Source organism: Homo sapiens, chromosome 17 (genome assembly GCF_000001405.40).
Source record: "Homo sapiens chromosome 17, GRCh38.p14 Primary Assembly".
NCBI lineage: Eukaryota > Metazoa > Chordata > Mammalia > Primates > Hominidae > Homo > Homo sapiens.
The window spans coordinates 59,662,238-59,686,227 of record NC_000017.11 but is presented as its reverse complement, the minus strand read 5'-3'; the positions used below and the strand labels follow the sequence as shown (position 1 = coordinate 59,686,227).

Here is a 23,990-nt window from a genome sequence, read left to right as displayed (position 1 = left end):
TGTTAAGAATATACATGCAGCTTCCCCAGGGGAAACAGGCATAGACATCATTAAAGTCAGGAACCAACCAAATAAAAGGGAATCTACAATACTAGTCATGAATATTTGAGTCACAAGAACTGATTTTGAGAAAAATACTATTTTGAAATAAAATTTATCAAAGTTTTTTAAATAAAAAAATACATAGATTATTTTCACCCTCATAAATACACTGAGGGTAAACAGCTACATTTGAGTTCCCCTTCCAATCAGTGTCATTTGTCAGCTATTAAAAAAAAATTTCAAAAGAACAGGAATATTTTATGATCGACTAAATGACTTACTTCTACTAAAGAAAAAAGCATTTAAAAAAATTAATGTGCATGTAGAATTTTACATGCAAGGAAACTAGTTCTGAATACACTTAGAAGAGTCATTACCTTTGTCAAGTACTCCTTCATGACCTGGATGAAATAGGGCATGGCAAAATCCATGATATTGTGCCTCCATGCAGTTTCTAGGACGACATCTGGCCTTAAAAGATCGTAACAGGTAAACAGACAAGCTCCAAAGCACTCTCTTTTTTCTTCCTGCAAAAACCACTGCAGGAGTTCTTCAGCCAATTCAGTATCTTTAGATTCAGAAGCATACTGCATTGCATCCTATTCAAAGAAATAGTGAAAGTCAAAAACATTAGACCCCACATACTGAACTAGTAAACCAAGAAAAACAATGGAAACTTTCCAATATAAATCTGGTTTTGCAAGGGGAAAAAAGCCTCCTAGTTGTATCATTTAAATTAAAATTTTCAAAGAAGAGATAAGCTAAAAGCTTTTTTTTCCCCAGACAAGTTTGACCTTAACATAAGAGAGCCCCTAGAATCAAGAAATCCATTAACTTAAATTGCCTTAAAGTCAGCTCTCATATTCACAAAACCAATACTTTTATTTATAGATTATAATCACTTGTAACACCATTTTAGGCCTGGTTTAAAACAGCCCCTGCCCCGCAACTTTATCAACCTTGTAAAGGCTGTCTTTCTTGCACAGCTCTACACTCTGTTTCCAGCGATTGTTGCCTTTGAAGAGATAAGCAGCAATTCTCCTGAACTCAATGAGTTCATGTTTTTCCAAACGCTGAGCAAGCGAGATATTGTCAAAGTTGTCATAAGCATCTATTGATGTTCGCAGAGCCTTAAAAAAAAAAAGCCATCCAAATGCCAGATCAGTATTTTGTTTAACATTATATTCCGTTCTCAATCAATGAGCCCCTTAGATGGTAACATGTAATATGACACCTAGATTCAAGCATCAAAAGGTATGATTTTTCATTTTACCTAAAGATACCATTTTCTCCAAGATTTTCACTATCAAGGACTAACATATGGCTATGAAATGGACAATATTTCTAATTTGGAGGGCAAGATTTTTTTCTTTTTTTTTGAGATGGAGTCTCCCTCTGTTGCCCAGGCTGGAGTGCAGTGGTGATGCAATCTGGGCTCACTGCAACCTGCCTCTAGGGTTCAAGCGATTCTCCGGCCTCAGCCTCCCGAGTAGCTGCTACTACAGGCACGTGCCACCACAACCGGCTAATTTTTTTGGTATTTTAGTAGAGACGGGGTTTCATTGTGTTAGCCAGGATGGTCTCGATCTCCTGACCTCGTGATCCGCCTGCCTTGGCCTCCCAAAGTGCTGGGATTACAGGCGTGAGTCACCACGCCTGGCATGGAGGGCAAGATTCTGTGCTCTAGAGAAACTTCTGATAAAACTCAGCATGGCAGCAGTACAGATCTGCATGCGCTGAGCCTCAAAGAAAATGAAGAGAGAGAAAAAAAGGCAAGTAGCTTAAGCTTAACTCTACTTCACTTTTGCTTGTGAAATCCTTCATAAGAGAAAGTTTATACAAACACTAATAAAACAGTAGGCAAGAAAAATGGTGAATAAATATAGTTAATACCAAATAAATTTTATGAATTAGTTAAGTGGTCAAAGACATTTTTGACTCTACCTACAATCTAGATGTTAGAGATAAAGTAATCATATCATTTTTTTCAAAAGCAGTATCTTATACAAGATCTGAGCAAAATTCTGAAAACTTGGCACTTAATTAGAAGATTTATCAATCCTGAAATCTTACTAAATTTAGATCCTAGGTATGCAAGCACCTACTGTTTACAATCCTAAAGGATAATGGCTTTTTTAAAAAATGGGAAAACATAACTTTATGAGTCTTGAGATTATGTGCAAGAATCAAAAGGTTTTACCTGATAATCTTCTTCTGTAATAAAAAGATTGTTCAATGATTCATTCACAGATTTGTTGTTATGGTTCTGAACTGAACGCAAATACGGTTTCACCAGTGGTAGCTGTTTAACCTTTAAAATAAAGAGTTTGTTACAAATATAGCACATTATTGAAGTCCCAGGGACAAAAGTTATCGAAGTATGTCCTAATTCCTTGCTATGAAGCTTTGGTTTAAAATTATTACTTTACCTTGCTGAAATAATTGACTGCACGAGTGTGATCCAACCGTGGAGACAGCACCATCAGCAAATCATTTAACAACAGAGGCTTGAATTCTAAGTAGAACTGTATTGCTCTGTAGTATAGTTCCACATTGGCAACCTACAATGGGAAAATCCATACATAAGTCAGTTACTTCCTAATGAGCTTTCTCCTTCTGAATCCTTTATCTTCTGAAGAAAGTACACACCTTGGTAATGATATCTTTGAATTGCCCTTCTTTCCAGGCATCAGTTGGATGATTCATCATGGTAATTATGGCATTATCATATTCTTCATACTTGTCATACAAAAACACCAGTTCTGCCCAAAGATGAGCTTGTTCTGCAGCTCTTAGCACCTGCATAAGAAAGACTTAATTGCTTTAGATATGAGTCTAGCTAACAGCCTTAAAAAGAATAAGATATTTTGAAGCATTAGTTTTAACTACACAGTTGCTTCACTGTGTTACAATGACTGGTTACCTTGGGAATATTCACTCTAGACCAGAACAGCTCCAGGTGCTCCCTCATTTTCTGAGGCTTAAATTTAGAGTATAGAATAGCTAATTCAGTAAACATTCCCATGTGAGCTCGCTCAAGTCCCAGTGCTGCTTCCAACATGGTGATCAGCTCTTCAAAATAGCCACGATCCTGAACAAGAGAAATGTGCAGTTAAAGATAAGAATATCTATGGTAAAAGATCTCAGGTCATATAAAAGTCTCGTTAATACCTGATAGTAGTTGATAAGTTCTTCTAATTCATCTGCATGTACAACAATATGAAGTCCACACATCTGAGCAAGACGGAATTCTTTCCCATCTACACAGGCGAAGCAGACCTAGAATAAACATTTCCTTTCTGTGAACTCAAATGTAAAACATGGCTAGTTATTTAAACTAATGTTTAAATAGCGTTTCTTTAATTCTTCACTCAAACTTGGGTTTAGATTACCTCTTTCCATGTTCGAGTACTGTTAGCTTTCCTAGCCCCATCAACAGCTGCCTGATATTCACCCAGGTGAACCAGGGTAGATGCCAAACGTCCAAAATTGGAAACATTATTGTACAACAACTTAGCAGCATCATACATTTTTTCATCATAACAACGGTCACCAACCTGGAAAAAAAAAGGTAACCCACATTCAGCAAGATATTAGTGTGAGCTTAATCCTCTTTTCAAATTGATATCTTCACAATGAGAAAGAATTTGTTTTCCTATAGATTTTTCCTTGGAATTCTTCAGTTATGATGTTTTGATCCTACCAAGCTAATCAAGTAGCCCAACTAGTTTTTCTTAAATCTGAAAAGGAAACCCACTTGTTGGATATGAGCATTATTTGGTCCATTGATAAATTCTTCTAACTCTGCAAGGCGGTTTGTTTTAGCCAGTGCGAATATCAGTTCTGTCTCCACATAGGACTCTCGAGCCTTCTTACGGGCCATCTGCAAGTACTTCACCAGTTCTTCCCAGTTTCCTAAGTATAGAAAAAGAAAAAATATATCCAAACACTAACATCCTAGTTTATCTTTCACCCAAGTAAATGAAAATTGCATTCATTTCCTTTTCAAGGAAACATGGATAATGACAAATGTAAACCGTGCAATATTTCACTTCTGTATTATCACGGACCAAATGAATAGATGAATTCTTTTTCCTTAAAGTTTTAAGATTAGAGCACTATCAGGATTTTATGAGACTTCAAAAACAGAAGATTCATCTTCCCCACTTGTAAGTTTTGTGAACTTACAAATTCACAAAATACAGCCTCTTTTTATCTGGACTAAGATGGAGCACTAAAAGAAACCATGCAGTATCCAACTCTTCTAAAATTCAGAATAGACAGATATCTTAATGCTTAGCTTAATCATTTTATGAGGTTTCAATACATAAGGTAAGAAGTCATACCACTAGTATTGGCAGCCTGAACAACTTCCATGTAGGAGGAAGGATCATCTGCTTTGATATAAGAATCAATGGCTTCTTTCACCATTCCTTTCTGCAACTGGGCTTTTGCAAGTTGACTCCAGACCGCAGGTTCATTGCAACGTTCAGCAAACTCATATGCCCGATCCAAGTTTCCAATATGCTCAATTAAGACCTAAGTATCCAAGTTTGAAATTAGGGTTAGAGTAAAATCAATCCTACCCAAAGCAATTACATTTAAGCTGTTAGTATTTTATTGCTGCTCTATTGCCGTAGCAACCAATTAGGCCCACCCTCATAGCACAGTGTTTAGTAATTCAACTTAGGTAATCTGAAGATTTACCTGAACTGCTGAAGTATTGACATCAAATTTCCGGAAAATGGCAAATGCTTCTTCAAACAGCTCATTGCTGATGGCGATATTGGCAATATCTGGGGCATCATAATTATCCAGGCGGTTAATATACTCCATAACACGTGTACGGTCAGCCTTAATTGCAGTGAGGATAAGGAGGTTTTGCAGATTCCTTTAAGAAAAAAAAGAATATTTTAAATGCAATATTTTAAGTTTATCCGACATAAAAAATAACCACTGTGACTAACGGAGAGGTTTTTGTCTCAAGAGGTAGGGTAGGGGGGAGGATATTAGAAGAGTGAGAATTCAGGCAACTTTCTCTGATCTTTTTGTTCCTTCCCAAAACTGATGGGCCATAATTTATTAAAGACTGACTATAAATAGCCAATGGATCCCTCTGAAAGCATACCTGTGTTCACTGAATACAGAGTTATCAAGGACAATTTTCTCCAGCAGTTCAATGAGTTCATTAGGAAGGTCTGCAGTCATGAAAGCCTTTACAGTTACTGACACTTCTTCAGGGTCCTGAGTCTCAGACAAAGCTGTTTGTACAACCTACAGAGGATATATGGGACATAAGTACTGAGAATCAAGTTGGTTTTAAAAAAGCGTAAGTTGGCCTCTCATTAGAAAACTTGAAATAGGCAGAAAAGAATGAAGTAGGAAAAAGACCTTTAAATTTACATAGAGAGGTCTTTCTACACAAATCTATACAATATGTATAATTGTGTTGAAAAATTACTCTAATTATATAATTTCTATCTTTTCCCTGATTAAAACATTATCCAGGCTAGCAATCATCATTATCACTTTAATGGCTACACATAATTCAAAATTCAGCTACACAGATGTGGAATTAAAATATCGGTAATTCGTCTGGTTTTGGCTATTTGCTTGGTTTTCTAGATGCTGCAATGATTTCCAACCATCGCCCCCACCCCCACAACCTTCCCCTAGGAAGCTTTGTAACTACTTGGGAATGTTGCTTAGAAGTGCTTCCTAGGAAAGGAATGAAATATTAATAGCCTTCAACCTATTCGTTTCCAAAATATTTTATTTATACTTATCTCAGGAGAATTTAAGACTCATTATAACAACTCTTCTATTTTTAGAACTTTTAAAATATGTTGTCTATTTTATTTAGGTATAAAACCCCATCTCATTTGCAGTTCTATACTTCTTATTAGTAAGATATAACACTGATGCACTTGGTCTTTTGTATTTTCTCTTATCCTTATATTTTTCTGACTTATTATCTTGAAGTTTCCAATCAATTTAGCCACTTAAGTGTTAATAATAGCAATCTTTAATGTTTAGTTTGTTATTTTCCTTTTAAACTATGATGAACCAAGAGAGTTTTATATAATTAAGTCAGGTCTTTTGGGATGTATTTTCTTTTTCTTTTTTCTTTTTGTTTTTTTGAGACAGTCTTGCTCTTATCACCCAGGCTGGAGTGCAATGGCGTGATCTCGGCTTACTGCAACCTCCACCTCCCGGGTTCAAGCGATTTTCCTGCCGAGTAGCTGGGATTACATGCACCTGGCTAATTTTTGTATTTTTAGTAGAGATGGGGTTTTACTACGTTGGCCAGGCTGGTCTCGAACTCCTGACTTCAGGTGATCCACCCACCTCGGCCTCCCAAAGTGCTGGAATTACAGGCGTGAGCCACCGCACATGGCTTATTTTTCTTAATGTATGTTATATACATATTTATACTTATATAAATGTACATTCATTTGTATATAATGTATATAATCAATTTACATTCATTATATACAAATGAATGTAAATTGAATATATATAAATTTTAATTTTCTTCTACTTTGTATTGCTTTCTCTCATAGTTATATATGATCCATTTGAGTACATGATGAGGGAAAGGATTGTATTCATAGTTAAAAATGTATAATTTTTACTGACAGCCATAAACACATTTGCCAATGTTACCTGGTCAATTAGGGGTCTCCTGTAAGGATTGCTTTCCAGCAGCACGCTGCCCCACAATTCTGGATCCTTTCGACGTACCAGGTAGCGAGAAAGACTTTTGAAGAGGGAATTCTCATTGCAAACCTAAAGAAGATATGATAGATTAATTTCAAGGTAAAAAGTAAAGGACTTTTTATAGCATTTTAGAGGGTATTTCCTATCTTTTAAACTATGTTTATTGATAATCTTACTGATATTGGATCTAGTTTTGGACTTTGATTCATGTACCAGTAATATACTGTTTTAATTATATAGACTTTGTAATACACAGTTCAACATCTGGTAGGACTAGTCCACTTTTACAGTTTTCAGTGTTTTACTAGCTGTTCTTGTGTGTTTATTTTTCCATGCGTATATGCACATGTATGTACATAAATGAGCATATGTATGTACATAAATGTAACTAAGCCCTGACCACTGAAAGATCTTAGAAGCAAATACACTAAAGCTCAGATCTTGACTTCTAATATTTTCAGAAAGTAGGAGTCTTGCTCTGTTGTCAAGGTTGGAGAGTGCAGTGTTGCGATCATAGCTCACTGCAACATTGACCTCCTGGGCTCAAGTGATCCTCCTGCCTCAGCTTTCTGGGTAGCTTGAAACCAAGTGCATGGCACCTCCCCCCAGCTAATCATGTAATTTTTTGTAGAGACGGGGGGCTCGCTATGTTGCCCAGGCTGGTTTCAAACTCCTGGGCTCAAGTGATCCTCCTGCCTCGGCCTCCCAAAGTGCTGGGATTCTAGGAGTGAGCCACTCACCTGGCCCAGATCTTGGTTTCTAATGCCCCAGTAAAAGGTTCCCTAGGGAAATGACTGACTTCAGGGCTGCTGAAGGTACAAAATGAGCTTGGTGTATTGTGTGCCAGAAAATAAGTTAGTGCTCAAAGAAAAATGAGCCCATGACACAAAGACACAGACTGAAGAGGTTCTCACCAGTCAAAACTGGGACAATTTGAGCATCAAAATAAATAGTAGTGAATTGTAGCCCATCGAATAAAATCCAAGAGTTCATGAATGCATGAGTGCTAACTGACAAATGTGGAGAAACTGCTGGAGTTTGAAAAATTTTCATTTTGCAACCAACACATTAAGAATGGTTTAAGCAAGAATCAACAGATGCTAAATTAAGGGAGAGGGTAAGAGGATATTTGCATAGTCTACTACAGACTACTTATAGACTGTTTAATATCTCCAAGAGGGTAATAATTATGTAATAAAGACATGTTACAACTTGATAAAAACTGACAAAGGGGACAAATGAACACTGCGTGCTTCCGGATATAATACCAAGAGAAAAACAAACCACCACTGAAGCAGTACTCTGGGTGGAAATGTATAATCTAAATCTAATCATCGGGAACCATCAGAGGAACTCAAAGTGAGACACATTCTGTTTTTTAAAAAGAGACTTTACATTTAGATGAAATATAGAGAATAGGCAAATCCATAGAGACAGTACAGTCTGGTGGTTGTCAGGGGCTGGGAGGAGGGGGTATGTGGAGGAACTGTTTAATTAATACAGGGTTTCCTTTTGAAGTGATGAAAACTTGTAACTAGATAAAGGTGATTATATAACATTGTGAATATACTGAATGCCACTGAATTGTTCACTTTAAAATGGTTAATTTGATGTTGCTTGAAATTTCACCTATATAAAATAGTTACAAATAGAAAAAGCAACTATTGTTTACAAAGATATCAGCGTCATAGAAAACAAAAGACTGAAGAACCATTCCAAAGTACAGGAGACTAAAGACATGAAAACTACATGCCATATATGACCTTAGACTAGAGGGGAAAAAACTGCTACAAAGGACATCATTGGGTAACTGACAAAACTAGAATAGAACAGATTTTTAAAGGTATCCTATCAATGTCAAACTGACTGAAGCTGGTATCTTTCATGTGGTTAATGAAAGAGAACATCCTTATTCTTAGGCCATACACTCGGAAGGGGTATAAGGCCATGATGCATTCAAGTTATTCCCACGTGGTTAAAAAATAGTATGTGTGTGTATACACATATGTATGAATGGTGTGCCTGAGTGTAAGAGTGTGAGAACACAAATGGTAAGGCTAGTGGGGTTAAAACATTAGCAAGTCAATCAGAATAAAGGGTATATAGACTTTATCCACTATTTGGCCACTTTCAGATTCACAATTATTTCCAAATAAAGTTTTAAAAAAGCACCCACCGTCCCCAAATGTCCCATATTACCTAAAATTACCCTGAAACTCTCATGTAACAGGTTTTTAAAAATGCAGCTTCTCTACATATTCAGCTAGCAGTACTCACATTAATAAGTTCCAGATCACATTGGCCACGTTCATAAGCAACACAGGCCAGATGTGGATCTCTCTTCTCACAATACTTTCCAACAACGCGACTGTCATAGTAGGGATTTTCACGAAGAAATCTCTCCGGGTTGTTATTACTGTCTATGTAGATTTTGGCTAAGGCATTGTGAGTAGCAGGCTCCTCACAGCCCTCATGAATTCTGGCCTCTAGCCAAGGCAGAAGCAGTTTCAATCTAGGAAAAAAGGAAAAAAACCTCACACACACATACTGTATTATAAATAACACACTCTTGACATGCTAACTATGTAAATACCTTATGGTCTATAATGTGCTTTCACATACTTTTTCCCCGCCCCCCGAGTATTGCTACATTGTCCAGGCTGAAGTGCAGTGGCTATTCACAGCCACAATCATTGTGCACTACAGCCTTGGGCTCAAGTGATCCTAGTACCTCAGCCTCCCGAGTAGCTGGTACTATAGGTGCAAGCCACTGTACCTGGCTTTACATTAATTTTAATTATCAGTGATCCTATTATAAATTGGGAAATTAAGACTCAAAATATGATTGAGTTGTCCAAGAATAAAAAGAAGGTATATAAGGCTATTTTTCACTCTCCCAGGTTTATCTGCTATATGATATACTTACCTCCTTATATCTGAATAAAAGATTAGAGATTCATACAGTGTCCTTTCTTTATAACACACAAAATATCTAGACTTCAGAAAATTTTGTTTGTGGATAGGATGGGGATGTGATATTACATAGGCCAGATTATCTGAGAGTTCTTTCAGCTTTAACACAATTAACATACAGCATTACCTACAGCCAAACCCTAAATACATATTGGGAATAAAATCTGATAGCTTTAGAAGCTCTGGGTTTAATAGTTGCAGCTGTCATATAAACACTCCATCAAGGAGCACAGTTTTGCTATACTATAGCTTGTTTCGATAGTCCTGATGACCATGCCTCCTTTTATTTTTATTTTAAAGCCAGGGTCTTCTGTTGCCCAAGCTGGAGTGCAGTGGAGGGCTCACTGCGGCCCTGACCTCCTGGGCTCAAGCAATCCTCTCACCTTAGCTTCCCCAGAAGCTGGGACTACAGGCACAAGCCACTACGCCTGGCCCAAGCCTCTTTTACCAATGATTTAAACATTAAAAGCAGCCAGAGAAAAAGCATTATTCGTTATTTTGGCTATATCAAATTCACATGGTTATTATGAACCCTCCCATTAGGGAGAAGACAATTTTAATAAATAGAGGCAAAAATCCAGCTCCTATAAACATGTGCAATCCAAGATACGCCATGTCAACTTAAGGAATAAAAATTAGCTGAGGCATGTCTAGACTAGTGACTTAGATGTGAATCTAGCTTTTCACAATATAATTTGTCACTTAAAGACTAAATTATCTAACTGTAACTGCCATTTGCTTGGAATATGCAGTAAGATTATTTTCAGGTAATAGATTCAATAGGTTCAGACTCAACTGAACCTCTTATTAAATGTTAAATTGTTATGACATAAAATCACTTGAAACTAGGCTCAAACCTTTAGGTCAGTATTAACTGCATATCTCTATTACCCTTAAATGCAAAATTTTTCCATGTTTGAAACATTCTAATATAAATTCTAAGAATATAATTAGTAGATCACCTATATCAACTCAGGTTAAAATGAAACCCACAGACTTTCTTAATTTCTTCTCATAAACAGCAGAACTTCCCACTAGCATACCACCTCACCAAACTCATTTACATCAGTACTTCCTAAACACTAGTTCCTCAGAACGTTCCAGCTAAAAAAAGACTTCACAGTCTGTAAGTTTTAGAAGCACTTATACTATATTCTATTGGAAATCCATATTATCATGTTAAGGTACTGTAAATTAAATATCAATTGAACTCAAGAGTTGCACAGGGAACTCTTTTGCCTCACACTTAAACACCACACTGTTTTTTTTAATCAGCTTTCTCAGGTTGGAAACACCACATGATTGATCAGTACAGAATTAGTTGTTAAATACACAGGTATCACACCTAAACAGGAGACTTAGTACATAGTTTATATAAAAACATATAAAGTCAAACCACATAGCTGTAATTATAAACATGCCAAAAAAATGATCAACCAAGTTAACAGATCTCCTATGACAGCTATAATGTTTCAGAAAACAGATTTTTTCCCAGTGCTATTAGCTAGCTTATCACCTCTATGTTAGGTGTCTTCAGGAAATTATTCTCCATGTGTTATTTAGTAGCTTTGGAACAAATGACTACCTATATTTTTATCTATTGCCATGTTAAGAAAGAGTAACTTATCCCTGTTAAAATGGTACTACACCTGTTTCTTTTTTCAACCTCAGCAACAAGCTCATCAGTAGAGAATTGACCTCTTACAACAAGAATCAAGTTTTTTATGACATCTTCAGAACAGTCAACATCAAGTAATCCTCCAATAACTACAGGAAGTCGACTTGGATTCACCTGTGGTTAAAAAGAAGTAGAAGAATGTTATTATGTTATTAAAAGCAAAGAGGAATTTTAAAAAAGCATTTATCTCTATCGCTTTTAAGCTCAGTTTTTTTTTCTTTAAGTTCAGTTTTTAAATTCAGTAATAAACTGAGGGTCTAAATTTGCAACTAGATAGAGGAATTTAGCAGGAAGTCCAGCTAAAAACAAGACTTCATGGTTTAATAAGTATTGAAAGCACATATACTATATTCTGTCTCTACCGGTTTGGTTAGTTACCGAAACATTGTTCCATATGATAAATAAGTCCAAAGAAGATACAGTCAAAGATGACTATGCAAGACTGTCTAATAAAAAGGCTCCCATTATAGCAATACTGCCTGTTTCTACAGTTAGAAGGTGAATTATCTAATATCTGTATTTAAGATGGTTTGAAAACTCTGCTTTGGAGTCTACATGGATACCTCAGGGTCTATCAAGTTAGTAAGGCCCTAGGCCACCCAACTTTTTCAATAATAGCAGTTCTATTCTTATATTTTACACACTTGGCATGCATGTTTTTTTTTTCCCCCTTCCCTGAGTCGGCTTGCTAGGGAAGCACGTAGAATTTTATTCCAAGAAAGGATTCTGCTGGGGAAAAAGTATTAAAAGCAGGCTGGGCATGGTAGTATGCACCTGCAGTCCCAGATACTTGGAGGCTAAGGCAGGAGGACTGCTTGAGCCCAGGAGTTTAAGGTTAGAGTGAGCTGTGATTGTGCCACTGTATTCCAGCATGGGTGACAGAGCAAGACCCTGTCTCCAAAACAAAAACAAAAACAAAAAATCCCACGTTAAAAGCTGCAGACCACTCTTATTGAGCACAGAGTTTCAAAAGGATTTCCAGAATATGAGAAATAAAATCTATAGTAAGATTATACCTTTACATTACCTACATATTACTTACCTTCTGTACATATATCTCTATATACTTTTGAAGATTATTTCTATATAAATAGAGCACCAAATCATGGACAAAGTCAAATCGATCACACACAATGATAAGTGGTAGCTGATCTGTTAGTTTTGCTTCCTGAAAAAAAGACAAACAAAAGGAAACTTTAAATTTCTTCTATGAGGTATCAAATCTGTGTAACATATGAGAATTTGTTCTACGCTAACAAGAGAGGCTCACACAAACATAGCTCTTCTGTTAAAGAAAGAATGTCCCAATAGTTGAGTGTGTACATCCCAGTTTCAGTAAATTTTTACTAAGCAATACTTAGATTCACACAGCAAGATACCAAGTCTTTCCCATACACACCCTTTACCAAAAAACAAGAGTAACAAATTAAGATACCTGAGCCAGTGGCTCTCAGATGATAAATTCACCATACTGGGACTTTCACTGGTAATAACACTTCTACCGTATTTAAAATCAACTTAATAACTATAGTCACATTGTCAAACATATGGCATAAATGGCTTACATTTGTTTCAAACTAATGATTTTCTATCCCTCCCCACATCCAATCTATACAACCAGCCTCTAATACTCTATTATAACAAAGCCTACAAGGAGCAGCATGATGGTGACCACATGTGGCCATAAGAAAACCCACCCCCTACAAAAAAAAAAACCCAGCATTTAAAGAAAAGATATCTTTAAATTGCCAACTGCTTTTATCATTCCATTACAGATACCAAACTACAATCCTACTTATAGACTGACATAGAAGATGTTATAGACAGGTAAGTAAAACCTGTACTGGGCATTTACCTGATACATGTCCTGTTACATTCCACAGACATAAGGTAGAGCACAAAAAACAACAGTTTCCATCAGGAATTCATTTATACACAGTGAAACATTCCTCAATAAATGATTCCTCTAACACAGTCTACTAGGGAAGCAGAACTAAGTAGGGTAGAACTTTCCCCAGTGATGGCCACTAAGAACATTATTTTCAAGGTTAGAATTAAATGGCTCCTGAGACTAGGGGATATTAGTTACTCGATTATAAATAATACGAAGACTAGTCTATGAAGTGTCCCAAGAACACCAAGGTAAATCTTAATTTTAATATAGCCATCCTAAATTAAAAAATAAAAATGTCTGTAAAGCTGCAGATTTTCCACATTAAGGAAGGTTTTCTAAAATAAGTATTGTTTAACACCATGGAAACTCTGCACTAATAGCTGTTACGATCATTTCTAGAATCTGTCTGCATCTATCTATGTAAAAATTTTAGTATGTCATGTTTTTCCTACTAAATGAACATCAAAAAAGTATGGATCAACACACTAGTCATCTTACCTATACACATATAAAATATTTTTGTTATCTTTATCACTTACAGATAATCTAGGATTACTTATTCTGTTTTCATGCATAGGTGTTAAAATTTCTGTGGCAAATAATTCCACTTTTGTGGAATACTAACTGTATTCCAAAAGAAAATTTCAGATTTAAAAAGTAGACAAAATCTAGGTTATTTTCTTGATTGCTAAAATTTGCACATGATTTTATACATGGTAGAAATGTTAACATTTTAATAATATTAAATTACTTACTAAATGTTTAATTAACCTCCAGTTATAATGGTTAAAGATTTTAAGATCAAACTTGAAATTATATTAGCATAGTCAGAGGTTTTCTTCAACATAAATTTGTTCATTTAACAAATATTTATGAGTACCCAAGTATCAGACTCTGTTCTTAGGTACTGGAGATACAGCAGGGAACAAAGGAAGCAGAGTCCATTCTCTCAAGGAACTTACATTCTAGTGGGAGGAGACGTTTCATAGTGGTGTTATAAAGAAAAACAAGCAAAATGGGGTAGGAATGGGTTCTATTTTACACAAGGCAACCTGAGACATCCTCTCTTCTGACATTCAATCAGAAACCCAAAGAAGGTAAAGGAGAAAGAAGGTCATGAGAGAATAGTAGTACAGGGCACAAGCAAAGGCCCTTCGGCAGGACAAGGTTAGGGGAGTTCCAGGAATAGCTAGCAGGCCAGTGTGGTTGAAGCTAAACCAGGAAAGAAAGAAAAAAAGAAAGGTAGAAAATAAGATCAAAGGTAGCAAGGAGCAGATCATGGGTCTGATGAACAGTTATATGCTTTCTACAGAGAGCTTACAGTTCTACAAACTTAGGGCATGAGTCAAATGATGCTAATGACACAATTTTATCCTGCTCACAGGGTACCTTAAAGGAGAAGTTATGTTCTACCAATCTCTTTATTCCTGGTGGCTAACACACAATTGGCACTTGAATATTCAAGATCAGAGTCAGGGTATTTTTCTTATGACACAGGGTTTACTTACAACACCAGTAAATTATCATGTAGCTAGTACCTCTAAAATTAAGTTTAATAACAGTGATAAGAGGCATCATAACCCTGTACTGGAGGTTAACAAGGAATCTAATAAGTTCACTCTCAACACTGGCATCAGAGGATGAATGTGATAGTTGCATCTTAGTATTGAGCTCCCATGTCAAATTATGTAGACGTAAGACCCTAAATTCACCTCTAATCCTGGCTGGAAGTAAATTCCTTCAAAGAGTCAAGTACAAATTGATATCAAAGAGAAATAAATACTTGCCTGACAGAAATCCCATTTAGGCTGACTCCACCTTTTTCCAAGGCTTATCACTTATCAGTAATAGTTACTGCCTAAACATCTATAGTATACAAGGTACTTGATAAATAAACATAGCTTATGGTTGAAGAAACTGAGGCTGAGGCATATTCATTAACTTGCCTGAGGTAACAGCTAGACATATACTGAATGAACAAACAATGGCTAAGTAGAATTTGAAACAGGTCTGACTGACTCAAAAGCTCATAATCCACATCCACACCCCTACTATATCAGGCTTGTACCCAGTTCACAAGTGTGGAGGGGAAATCTTCATCTGATTAGATCCCATGGGCTATGCAAACCTAAGGCAGTACCATCCTAGTACCCAGAGGATTGTTTTTCATTTCTTTACTAGAGGATTTTTTTTAAAGCTCAAAAATGTGATAATTAAATAATAGCTAATTTCATTTTGCTTTCCATATATATATAACTCAAATATTAAAATCCAAAGCTAAAGAAGTTACAATTTAAGCATAGAAGCTGAGGGCTCAATAAAAACAAAAAGAAATCATTTAAGAATCTGGTAGTATTAACACAGGAACAGAAAACCAAATACTGCATGTTCTCACTAGCAAGTGGGAGATAAATGATGAGAACACATGGACACAGAGAGGAACAACAGACACTGGGGCCTACTGAAGGGTGGAGGATGGGAGGAGGGAGAGGATCAGAAAAAATAACTAATGGGTTGTAGGCTTAATACCTGGATGACGAAACAATCTGTACAACAAACCCCCATGACACAGTTTACCTATATAACAAACCTGCCCACGCACCCCTGAACTTAAAAGCTTAAAAAGAAAAACAAAAAAAAAAACCCAACACCCCCTGCCCCCAAAAGAATCTAGTAGTAGTTTTTTTTGTTGTTGTTTTTTTTAAAGGAAATAGTAATGATACTCAAAGAAGGAAGTGAATCAGTAGTATGGGTACACTAGTCAAGCACAGAGTATCAAATCTTTCTCATTTGGAGGGGTTTTTTGACACCAGAAAGTTTTGGTCCAAACATAGCACAGCTAGGTTACCCAGAATATTCATGATGGCCAAGACATTTTAAAGCTATACTTTTTTGAAAAGTGTATCTTTTAATCTAAAATGTAGAGCAGTTTCAACATTTTGACTACTTCATTACACTAAAACCCCTAAGGGTTTTGCTATTTAATCTAGAGCCCAGGTAGTAAATTCTTCAAAAGAACAATCTGCCAATGCAACCACACACACAAATGATGATAATCTGGGAGTAGGAAAAGCCTACTTTCTATACTGTGTTCTACAAAAACATTTTGGTTTTACTTGTAATGTAAAATTCTTCCAAGACAAAAAATACTTCAGAACTTTCTATAAAGTCTCAGGAATCATTATATATATATATAGTGTACACACACACACATAATAGGCAGTGAGAGAGCAGTAATCTAAGTGTTCTGTAGTTTTCCTAGCCTTTTATAGATAGCTATCAATTTTAAAGCTTTATTTCCATCACAAAGTAACTGGCAGTTACAAGAATAAAGCTAAAGCTAAGTTAAACATTAAACAAAATTAACTGCCCTTAGGGATGTTCTAGAGTTCAGAATCTCTCAACCATTACTCCTCCCTGCAACACAGGTGGTCCTTACTCCTCTCTAACTGATTTAATGTGTCACAAAGCTGAGCGTTTTGTTTGATCTTACCTTTATGAATTATATATGAATAACAATATTTTAGTTTCTAGAGTTGAGCAAACTTGATGAAAGAGGTAAACCTATACATTCCTTAGACAACAGATCCCTTTGCCTACAATAGAGGCTCCTCAAAATGGTATGAAGAGCAAGCTGATGTTAATATTCAAAAGCCTAAATGATTCTAAAATGACATTGAAAGTATACAACCACTTTTCTAAATTTTTCCATCCAAAATTAAAATAAAGGAAATTCCTTTGAAATAGTGCTATTTTTTTTTTCTTCTTTTAAACAGATGGTCATTCTTACTCACCAATTTCCTTCCGTATTTCAAAGGAAACCACAGAATATTATGTTTGGAAGAAATAATCCAGCACACAACTTAAGAATGCTAACAACTTCACATTTAGGGAAAAAATATTTTTGAACTATGACCAAACCCTTGTAGAACTGCTAACCTGGAATCCAACCAGAAAACACATTACTCAAAACCACTTACCTTAAGAAAATTCTTGACTCGCTCAGGATCGTAGCAGTTGCTTTCTCTACAGATTCTTTCTACTTCTTTGATTTGCCCAGTCTTGCAAGCTGCCTGAATATATTTAAAGTGCACATCTGGGTCCTGGCTAAAGTTAACAATGGATCCCAGAAAATAAAAGAGACCTTAAAGAAACAAGTAATTACAATTAAGCATAGGCACACTTTTGAGAATGACTGAAAAACATTTATGTAATTAAAAAACTGTTATATTGAATACTCCCAAATATAAGTTGGTTGCTTAAAAAGCGCGATAAAAATACTAACTATTCCATTAATCAGATCAGTAAAATGGATTGCACTTTAATCCTGAAGAATAGACAATTCAACCCAATGTTTCCTTTTTTTCTTTTTTATTGAGGCAGGTCTCTGTCACCCAGGCTGGAGTGCAGTGGCACGATCATAGCTCACTGCAGCCTCAAACTCCTGGGCTCAAGCAATCCTCCCACCTCAACCTCCTAAGTAGCTAGAACTACAGATGCATGCCACCATGCCAGGCTAATTTTTAAGAAAATTTTTGTAGAGATGGTGTCTTGCTATGCTAGCCAGGCTGGTCTTGAATTTGTGGCCCCAAGCACTTGGCCTCCCAAAGCACTGGGATTATTAAAGGCATACACCATTGTGCCCCTATATGGGAAATTTTAAATGAAGACCCCAATACCTGGTGTTTTTCAATATGCAATTTATAGGAAACATACAAAATAATTTGGGAAGAATTTAGTGCAGTATTGTCCAGAAGAACTTTCTGCAATGATGAAAATCTTATCTTTGCCTTCCAATATAATAGCCACTAAACACATGTGGCTATTAAGCACTTGAAATGTGGCTAGAGTGACTGAATAACTAAATATTAAATTTTATTTCACTTTAATAACTTTCAATGTAAATAGCTACTATATGTGGCTAGTGACTGTACTAAACAGTGTAAATTTAGTGCACAGTTAACATTTTGAAACTGGGAAAATTAAGAAAAAATTAAGAAAACTACTAGACTCTCTTACCCCTTCTCAATAGAGTACTACTAGTACAGAGAGGAGAGAAAGGCAGTTGGGGACCAGAAGTTAGACACCCAACAGTGATTACGTTAGTACCCTGTATAGCAGTGGTTCTCAACTGAGGTGATTTTCCTCACAGGTGACACTGGCAATGTCTGAAGACATTTTTGGTTGTCACAACTGGTGGAGCTGACGCTACTGGAATCTAGTGGGTAGAAACCAGGAATGCTGCTGAATATTCTACTAAATATTCTACATGTACAGGAACACCCCTCTACAATGATTATCCAGCCCTAAATGTCTATAGTACTAAGGTTAAGAAATCCTGCTAAATAGCAACAAATCACAAAATGCCCTTAGTGAGAATCACCTGCTATTATAAGAGTCAGACATATAAGCATAAAATTTTATTATACCTGATCATTAGTACAGACTGAGTATCCCTTATCCAAAATACTTGAGACCAGACGTGTTTCAGATTTTGAACTTTGGAATATTCGCATTATAATTACCTGATCAGCATCCCTAATCTGAAAATCCGATTTCTGAAATGCTCCAACAAGCATTTCCTTTGAGCGTTATGTTGGTGCTCAAGAAGTTTTGGACTTTGGTGCATTTTGGATTTTCAGATTAGGGACACTCAACCTGTATTTTCATTTTATACAATTTCAACACCACTACATATTTTTCTCTTAAAATTCTACCTTTAATTCATCTATAAAATATCCAAACAGATGGTCTGGTTCACTGCATATCCTTAGAATCCAACATAAAAGGGCCTTGACATATATTGAATAAAACTTAAAAAATTAAAATGTCCCATAGAACCAAATTTTTAGAAAAACAAAATTTCCAACAGCCTGATCATAAGCATACCTCTTCTTGGCTACCTTAAGTACTTTTTTTAAAAACTCAAAAACTCCTAATTACCTTCAAAACTCTTGAAAGATTCAAAAAGTTCAATCAGAGACTGAGTTGACAGTTGTTCATGATATTTAGAAGCCACCTGAACACAAATCTGCAGATTCTGACGGATGTTGGCAGACAGCATGGCTCTGAGACATTCTAGGGAGTCTTCTACTGATAAGGAACCAAAGTAGTTGACTAACCACTACAAGACAAAATAAATGAATGAATGAATAAATGAAATAATGTTGAACCTCATGGTGGTATGAAATTATTAATATTTAGTACCACAAACACATTTTCAGTGTACCTATTAATCACAACTAACACCATCTATTAGGTAAGAAACTGAAATACCTCAGGGTTAAGAAGATGGGTGTGAACCACTGCACGTTTTATATCATATAAATCAGTGAAATGTTCTAATGCACGCTGCAGTAGGCCAGCCTTTTCACACAGTTGAGCAATATGAGCCCGGTCATAATGTGTGAACATCTGATTGCCTAGAATAGCATCTGCAACCTGTAAAACCACAAACAAGGCAAGTTTATTGTCCACTCCACTTACATGAGTAATTCAATATCCGTATTACAGATTAAGGTTTAATAGTGAACTGTTAAAGTACAAAAGAATATTATAATAGCTACATTTTCTTTAATAAGGAGTAGGCCCCTCAGTAGCTTTGCATAACAATCTGAGAGGCGCTGCACAATTACTAAAACAATGTTGGAAACATGCCTAAAAAGCATTAAAACACATACTTGAGGCGCATGCATAAGGTTCATCTCAAGTAACCGCGTCTGTAAAGGACCTTCAGATGGGCGATTATTCTTCAGAGCATCAAGCAAGAATGCAGTACACTGCTGAATTAGATTGTATTCCATAAAGACATCTACAATCTACAAAAAAAGATTTAAAAGAAATTGTTTTAAGATACTATGGAGAGTATGTAGACAAAATTATGCATGAACTCTTTCTTTACCTGAGAATTTTATTTGGACAATATAAACACTTAAGAACAAATTTTTGTCCTCTAGGGATCATAGTTATTTTGAGTTCTGATAAAAACAACTACAAAATATTTCAAGATATTACATAACAGCAGAATACAACTGAACCGACAGACCTTTATTTTATTTTATTTATTTATTTTATTTTTTTGAGGCAGAGTTTCGCTCTTATTGCCCAGGCTGGAGTGCAATGGCACGATCTCAGCTCACTGCAACCTCCACCTCCCGGGTTCAAGCGATTCTCCTGCCTCAGCTCCTGAGTAGCTGGGATTACAGGCGTCTGCCACCACACCTAGCTAATTTTTTGTTATTTTTAGTAGAGACAGGGTTTCGCTATATTGGCTAGGCTGGTCTCAAACTCCTGACCTCAGGTGATCTGCCCACCTCAGCCTCCCAAAGTGCTGGGATTACAGGCCTGAGCCACCGCACCCAGCCTGACAGACCTTTATTTTTATGAACTTTAGAAAACCAATAGCATAAATATGAAGGACTCTGACTCACACTTACAAATGCATCTCTTCCCTCTCCCCACACCCAGTGGCAACCACTATCCTGTTTTATCATCCCCATGTATTTTTCATATTTTTAATACACATACATCTCTAAATAAGATGTTTGTTTTGCATGTATTAAAACTACATGCAGATGGTTTCATACTGTCCATTCTTTTGCAACTTGCTTTTTTTGCAAGGCATTTGAGGTTTATCCATATAGAGTGACAAAGCTTTAATTTCTACAAACTGTAAGTTTTCCTTTTTTTTTTTTCTTTTTGAGAGTCTCACTCTGTTGCCCAGGTTGGAGTCCAATGGCACGATCATAGCTCACTGCAGCCTCGACCTCCCAGGCTCAAGCTATCCCTCCACTTCAGCCACCCGAGTAGCTGGGGCGACAGGCATGTGCCACCACATGCAGCTGATTTTTAAATTTTTTGTAGTTACAGGGTCTCACAATGTTGCCCAGACTGGTCTTGAATTCTTGGCCTCAAGCAATACTCCCACCTTGGACTCCCAAGTCAACCACCATGGCTGGCCCCCACTCTCCATTTCAATCAGCTTCTACAAAATATATTTTAATCACATTACCTGTGTGATGTCAGCAAGAGGCTCTTCATCTTGAACTAACATTTGGGCAAACTGCTGTCCCTGATCTGGACTGATTCGCATTACATTTCTCAGCAGAAATATCCAATCTGGAGTGTATCCAACCTATAAACAAACAAAGACTTAAACGCTGCTCCTAAGTTTCAATTTTATAGCATTTAAAGACTTTTTCTACTATAAAATCTCACTAATATAGAACTACTGGTGAAAGCACAAATTCATTTTCAATTTAAGGTGCCCAGTTAGACCTTGGTGATGACATATTTGAACAAACATCTGTCAATTTTTATAACTGGCTTATCCATTTTCTTTTCTTTTCTTTTCTTTTTTTTTTTTTTTTTGAGACAGGGTCTTGCTTTGTCATCCAAGCTGGAGTGCAGAGGTGCAATCTCGATTCACTGAAACCTCTGCCCCCTGGGCTCAAGTGATCCTCCTACCTTGGCCTCCTGAGTAGCTAAGACCACAGACACACCACCACGCCTGGCTACTTTTTTGTATTTTTAGTAAAGACAAGGTTTCACCATGTTACCCAGGCTGGTCTCAAATTCCTGAGTTCAAGTGATCTGCCTGCCTTGGCCTCCCAAAGTGCTGGGATTACAGGCGCAAGCCACCACACCTGGCCTGGCTTATCCATTTTCAATAAATGAATATTTCAAAAGTTTGTTCTAACATGTTAAACGTGCCTGCTATCTGAAATTCTGATAAGCCATGCAAAAGTAATTTTCTCAATTTAACAAGTATGAATTTGATATGAGGGGTAAGAGAATTTTTATACATTTCAAAGTAAATCAAAATGAAAGGAAATTCACTATTAAAGTAATCAAGAGTTAATACAGGCTAATTTCTCTGTCAATGCTTCAATGAATTCATGCTGAGAATGTGTTTCATTGAACTCACTTTTTTAGCATATAAAACAATCTTTTGGACTTGACCTGTTTCTGCAAAGCACTGAATGACTTTATTTGGGACGTTAGCCCTTAGGTACACACTAAGTGCCAATGTAGGGTCCACAGATTTCACAAGATCACCCAGTTCTTCAGAACATTCCAGCTGTCCAAAGGAAAAAGAGATTGTTTAGTGATCCATGAACTGTTTTAGAAATGAGCAGTTGACACTATGTCCACTATAAGTAATAACTAGTATGAAAGGTACTTAGTTTCACAGAATATATTATAAATATGCAGGGGTTGTGGTTGGTAGACTCTTAATCTTGTGTTCACAGCAATGTCTCAGTAGAATTCTCCACAAATCCTGTTTAACGATAAAAAGCTCACCAAGACTGCAATCTTATAGATACTATCAACTACCTTGTTAAGGATTTAAGTACTTCAAAGTACAATCTTGTACCTCTTGTACTTCTAGCTACTAAGAATATTCAGATATCAGACTCACATCACATGGCCCCAATTTTTCAAAAACAAAAAGCAACTTTTAATGTAATGTTATCAACTGAAAATTTGATAATGAAGGAGCCAGATGAGGTTTACCATAAGGACAGTTATTAAACTCACAGTGTAACCTATATATGTCTGAGGGATCTAAGCACCACTATCTTCTTGACTTGGATTTAAGCTTATAGGGCAGGAAGGACACTCTTAAGAATTTTTAGGTAGTATACAGGCAGATACTGTCTTCTGTGTTATTCAGTCTGCCTTACTCATTCAGCTGCCCAATCTGGAAATTCATTTCCTAAGAGTTCTGGTTTACATACTATAGTAGATTTTCTACTTTGGGGACTAGCTCTTATAAATGATATTTAGTGCCAAAAATAAAAAGTTGTATCAGAGTCGATAATCTTAACTGAACATGCTAATGAATAGTTGATTAATGTCTCTTTTATTAATACCACAAATGGTCCCATATGACTGTTCACAGAAAAGGATAATGATACCTAAAAAGCTTTCACCCTGTTACGTAGGTCAACTCAGTTACCTTGGCTGTTCTCACCCTCCCTTATCTTTTTAAAAAATATTGTGTATTTATTTAATAAGGTCTCGCTGTGTTGCCTAGGCTGGTCTCAAACTCTTTGCATCAAGTGATCCTTTTGCCTCAGCCTCCCAAAGTAGTGGGATTACAGGCGTAAGCCACCAAACTCAGCCCTGCCTTATCTTAATCAATTAGGATGGACCTCAAATACTCGCTAGTGTGGCTATTCTTCATCAGAGACTCCTGTCCAAGTATCCCAAATCTGATGTAGTATTCTCTGGTATCTTACAAGATTGCCAGAAACTGGGTCAAGAAACAAGGACTTAGAATTAATAATATAAAAACAGTCCTAACATATACTAACGCTGAAAGAATAATAACATTAAATGTTATTCACTATTCAGAGTGCTTTAAACAATACTACTTCAGTTCTTGACAATGGCAATTCCATACTACAACTTTGAGGAGAAAGGCTTTTTTATGTGGTGGTGTGAAAGGAATTAACACTAATGGACAGCTAAAACTTGTTTGTTATCCTAGAAACAAACAACATCCTTTGGCTGTTTCTCAGTCACTATTCCACATAAGGAATAATGTGCTCAGGAAAACATACTACCATTATATGCTCTCTGTAAAGAGAAATAAGTACTGAGTGAATATAAAAGGCATGGAGAAGACCTACAGTAAAGAAAGCTAGTTAACATTTAGAAAAGGTTCATATTTAAATA

The 23,990-nt window shown here is 36.3% G+C and overlaps 1 protein-coding gene across 2 annotated transcripts in view, besides 2 other annotated features; it reads right to left on the bottom strand.

The window, feature by feature from the left end:
- CLTC (clathrin heavy chain) overlaps nt 1-23,990 on the bottom strand; it is a 77,062-nt gene that overhangs the window by 10,729 nt on the left and 42,343 nt on the right. For both annotated transcript variants that reach the window (NM_001288653.2, NM_004859.4), the window contains exons 9-30: nt 22,234-22,386; nt 21,319-21,441; nt 19,988-20,125; nt 19,584-19,748; nt 19,251-19,431; nt 17,288-17,451; nt 12,456-12,581; nt 11,385-11,527; nt 9,040-9,274; nt 6,709-6,831; nt 5,171-5,316; nt 4,750-4,933; nt 4,389-4,581; nt 3,800-3,957; nt 3,435-3,599; nt 3,214-3,321; nt 2,966-3,133; nt 2,692-2,841; nt 2,472-2,603; nt 2,243-2,353; nt 1,002-1,172; nt 420-641 (exon numbers count right to left, since the gene is read on the bottom strand). In NM_001288653.2, coding sequence (NP_001275582.1) covers nt 420-641; nt 1,002-1,172; nt 2,243-2,353; nt 2,472-2,603; nt 2,692-2,841; nt 2,966-3,133; nt 3,214-3,321; nt 3,435-3,599; nt 3,800-3,957; nt 4,389-4,581; nt 4,750-4,933; nt 5,171-5,316; nt 6,709-6,831; nt 9,040-9,274; nt 11,385-11,527; nt 12,456-12,581; nt 17,288-17,451; nt 19,251-19,431; nt 19,584-19,748; nt 19,988-20,125; nt 21,319-21,441; nt 22,234-22,386 — 3,459 coding nt within the window. The remainder of the gene's footprint in view (nt 1-419; nt 642-1,001; nt 1,173-2,242; nt 2,354-2,471; nt 2,604-2,691; nt 2,842-2,965; nt 3,134-3,213; nt 3,322-3,434; nt 3,600-3,799; nt 3,958-4,388; nt 4,582-4,749; nt 4,934-5,170; nt 5,317-6,708; nt 6,832-9,039; nt 9,275-11,384; nt 11,528-12,455; nt 12,582-17,287; nt 17,452-19,250; nt 19,432-19,583; nt 19,749-19,987; nt 20,126-21,318; nt 21,442-22,233; nt 22,387-23,990) is intronic.
- Nucleotides 886-1,180: a silencer, noted in NCBI's record as "tiled region #12460; HepG2 Repressive non-DNase unmatched - State 17:Gen3', and K562 Repressive DNase matched - State 5:Enh". NCBI's record gives its function as "represses a minimal TATA promoter and a strong SV40 promoter by Sharpr-MPRA in HepG2 and K562 cells {active_cell/tissue: HepG2 | K562}" and the evidence as "EXISTENCE:reporter gene assay evidence [ECO:0000049][PMID:27701403]".
- Nucleotides 1,843-3,042: an enhancer, noted in NCBI's record as "CDK7 strongly-dependent group 2 enhancer chr17:57760547-57761746 (GRCh37/hg19 assembly coordinates)". NCBI's record gives its function as "activates an origin of replication core promoter dependent on BRD2, BRD4, P300/CBP, MED14 and CDK7 cofactors, with strong dependence on CDK7, by STARR-seq in HCT116 cells {active_cell/tissue: HCT116}" and the evidence as "EXISTENCE:reporter gene assay evidence [ECO:0000049][PMID:35650434]".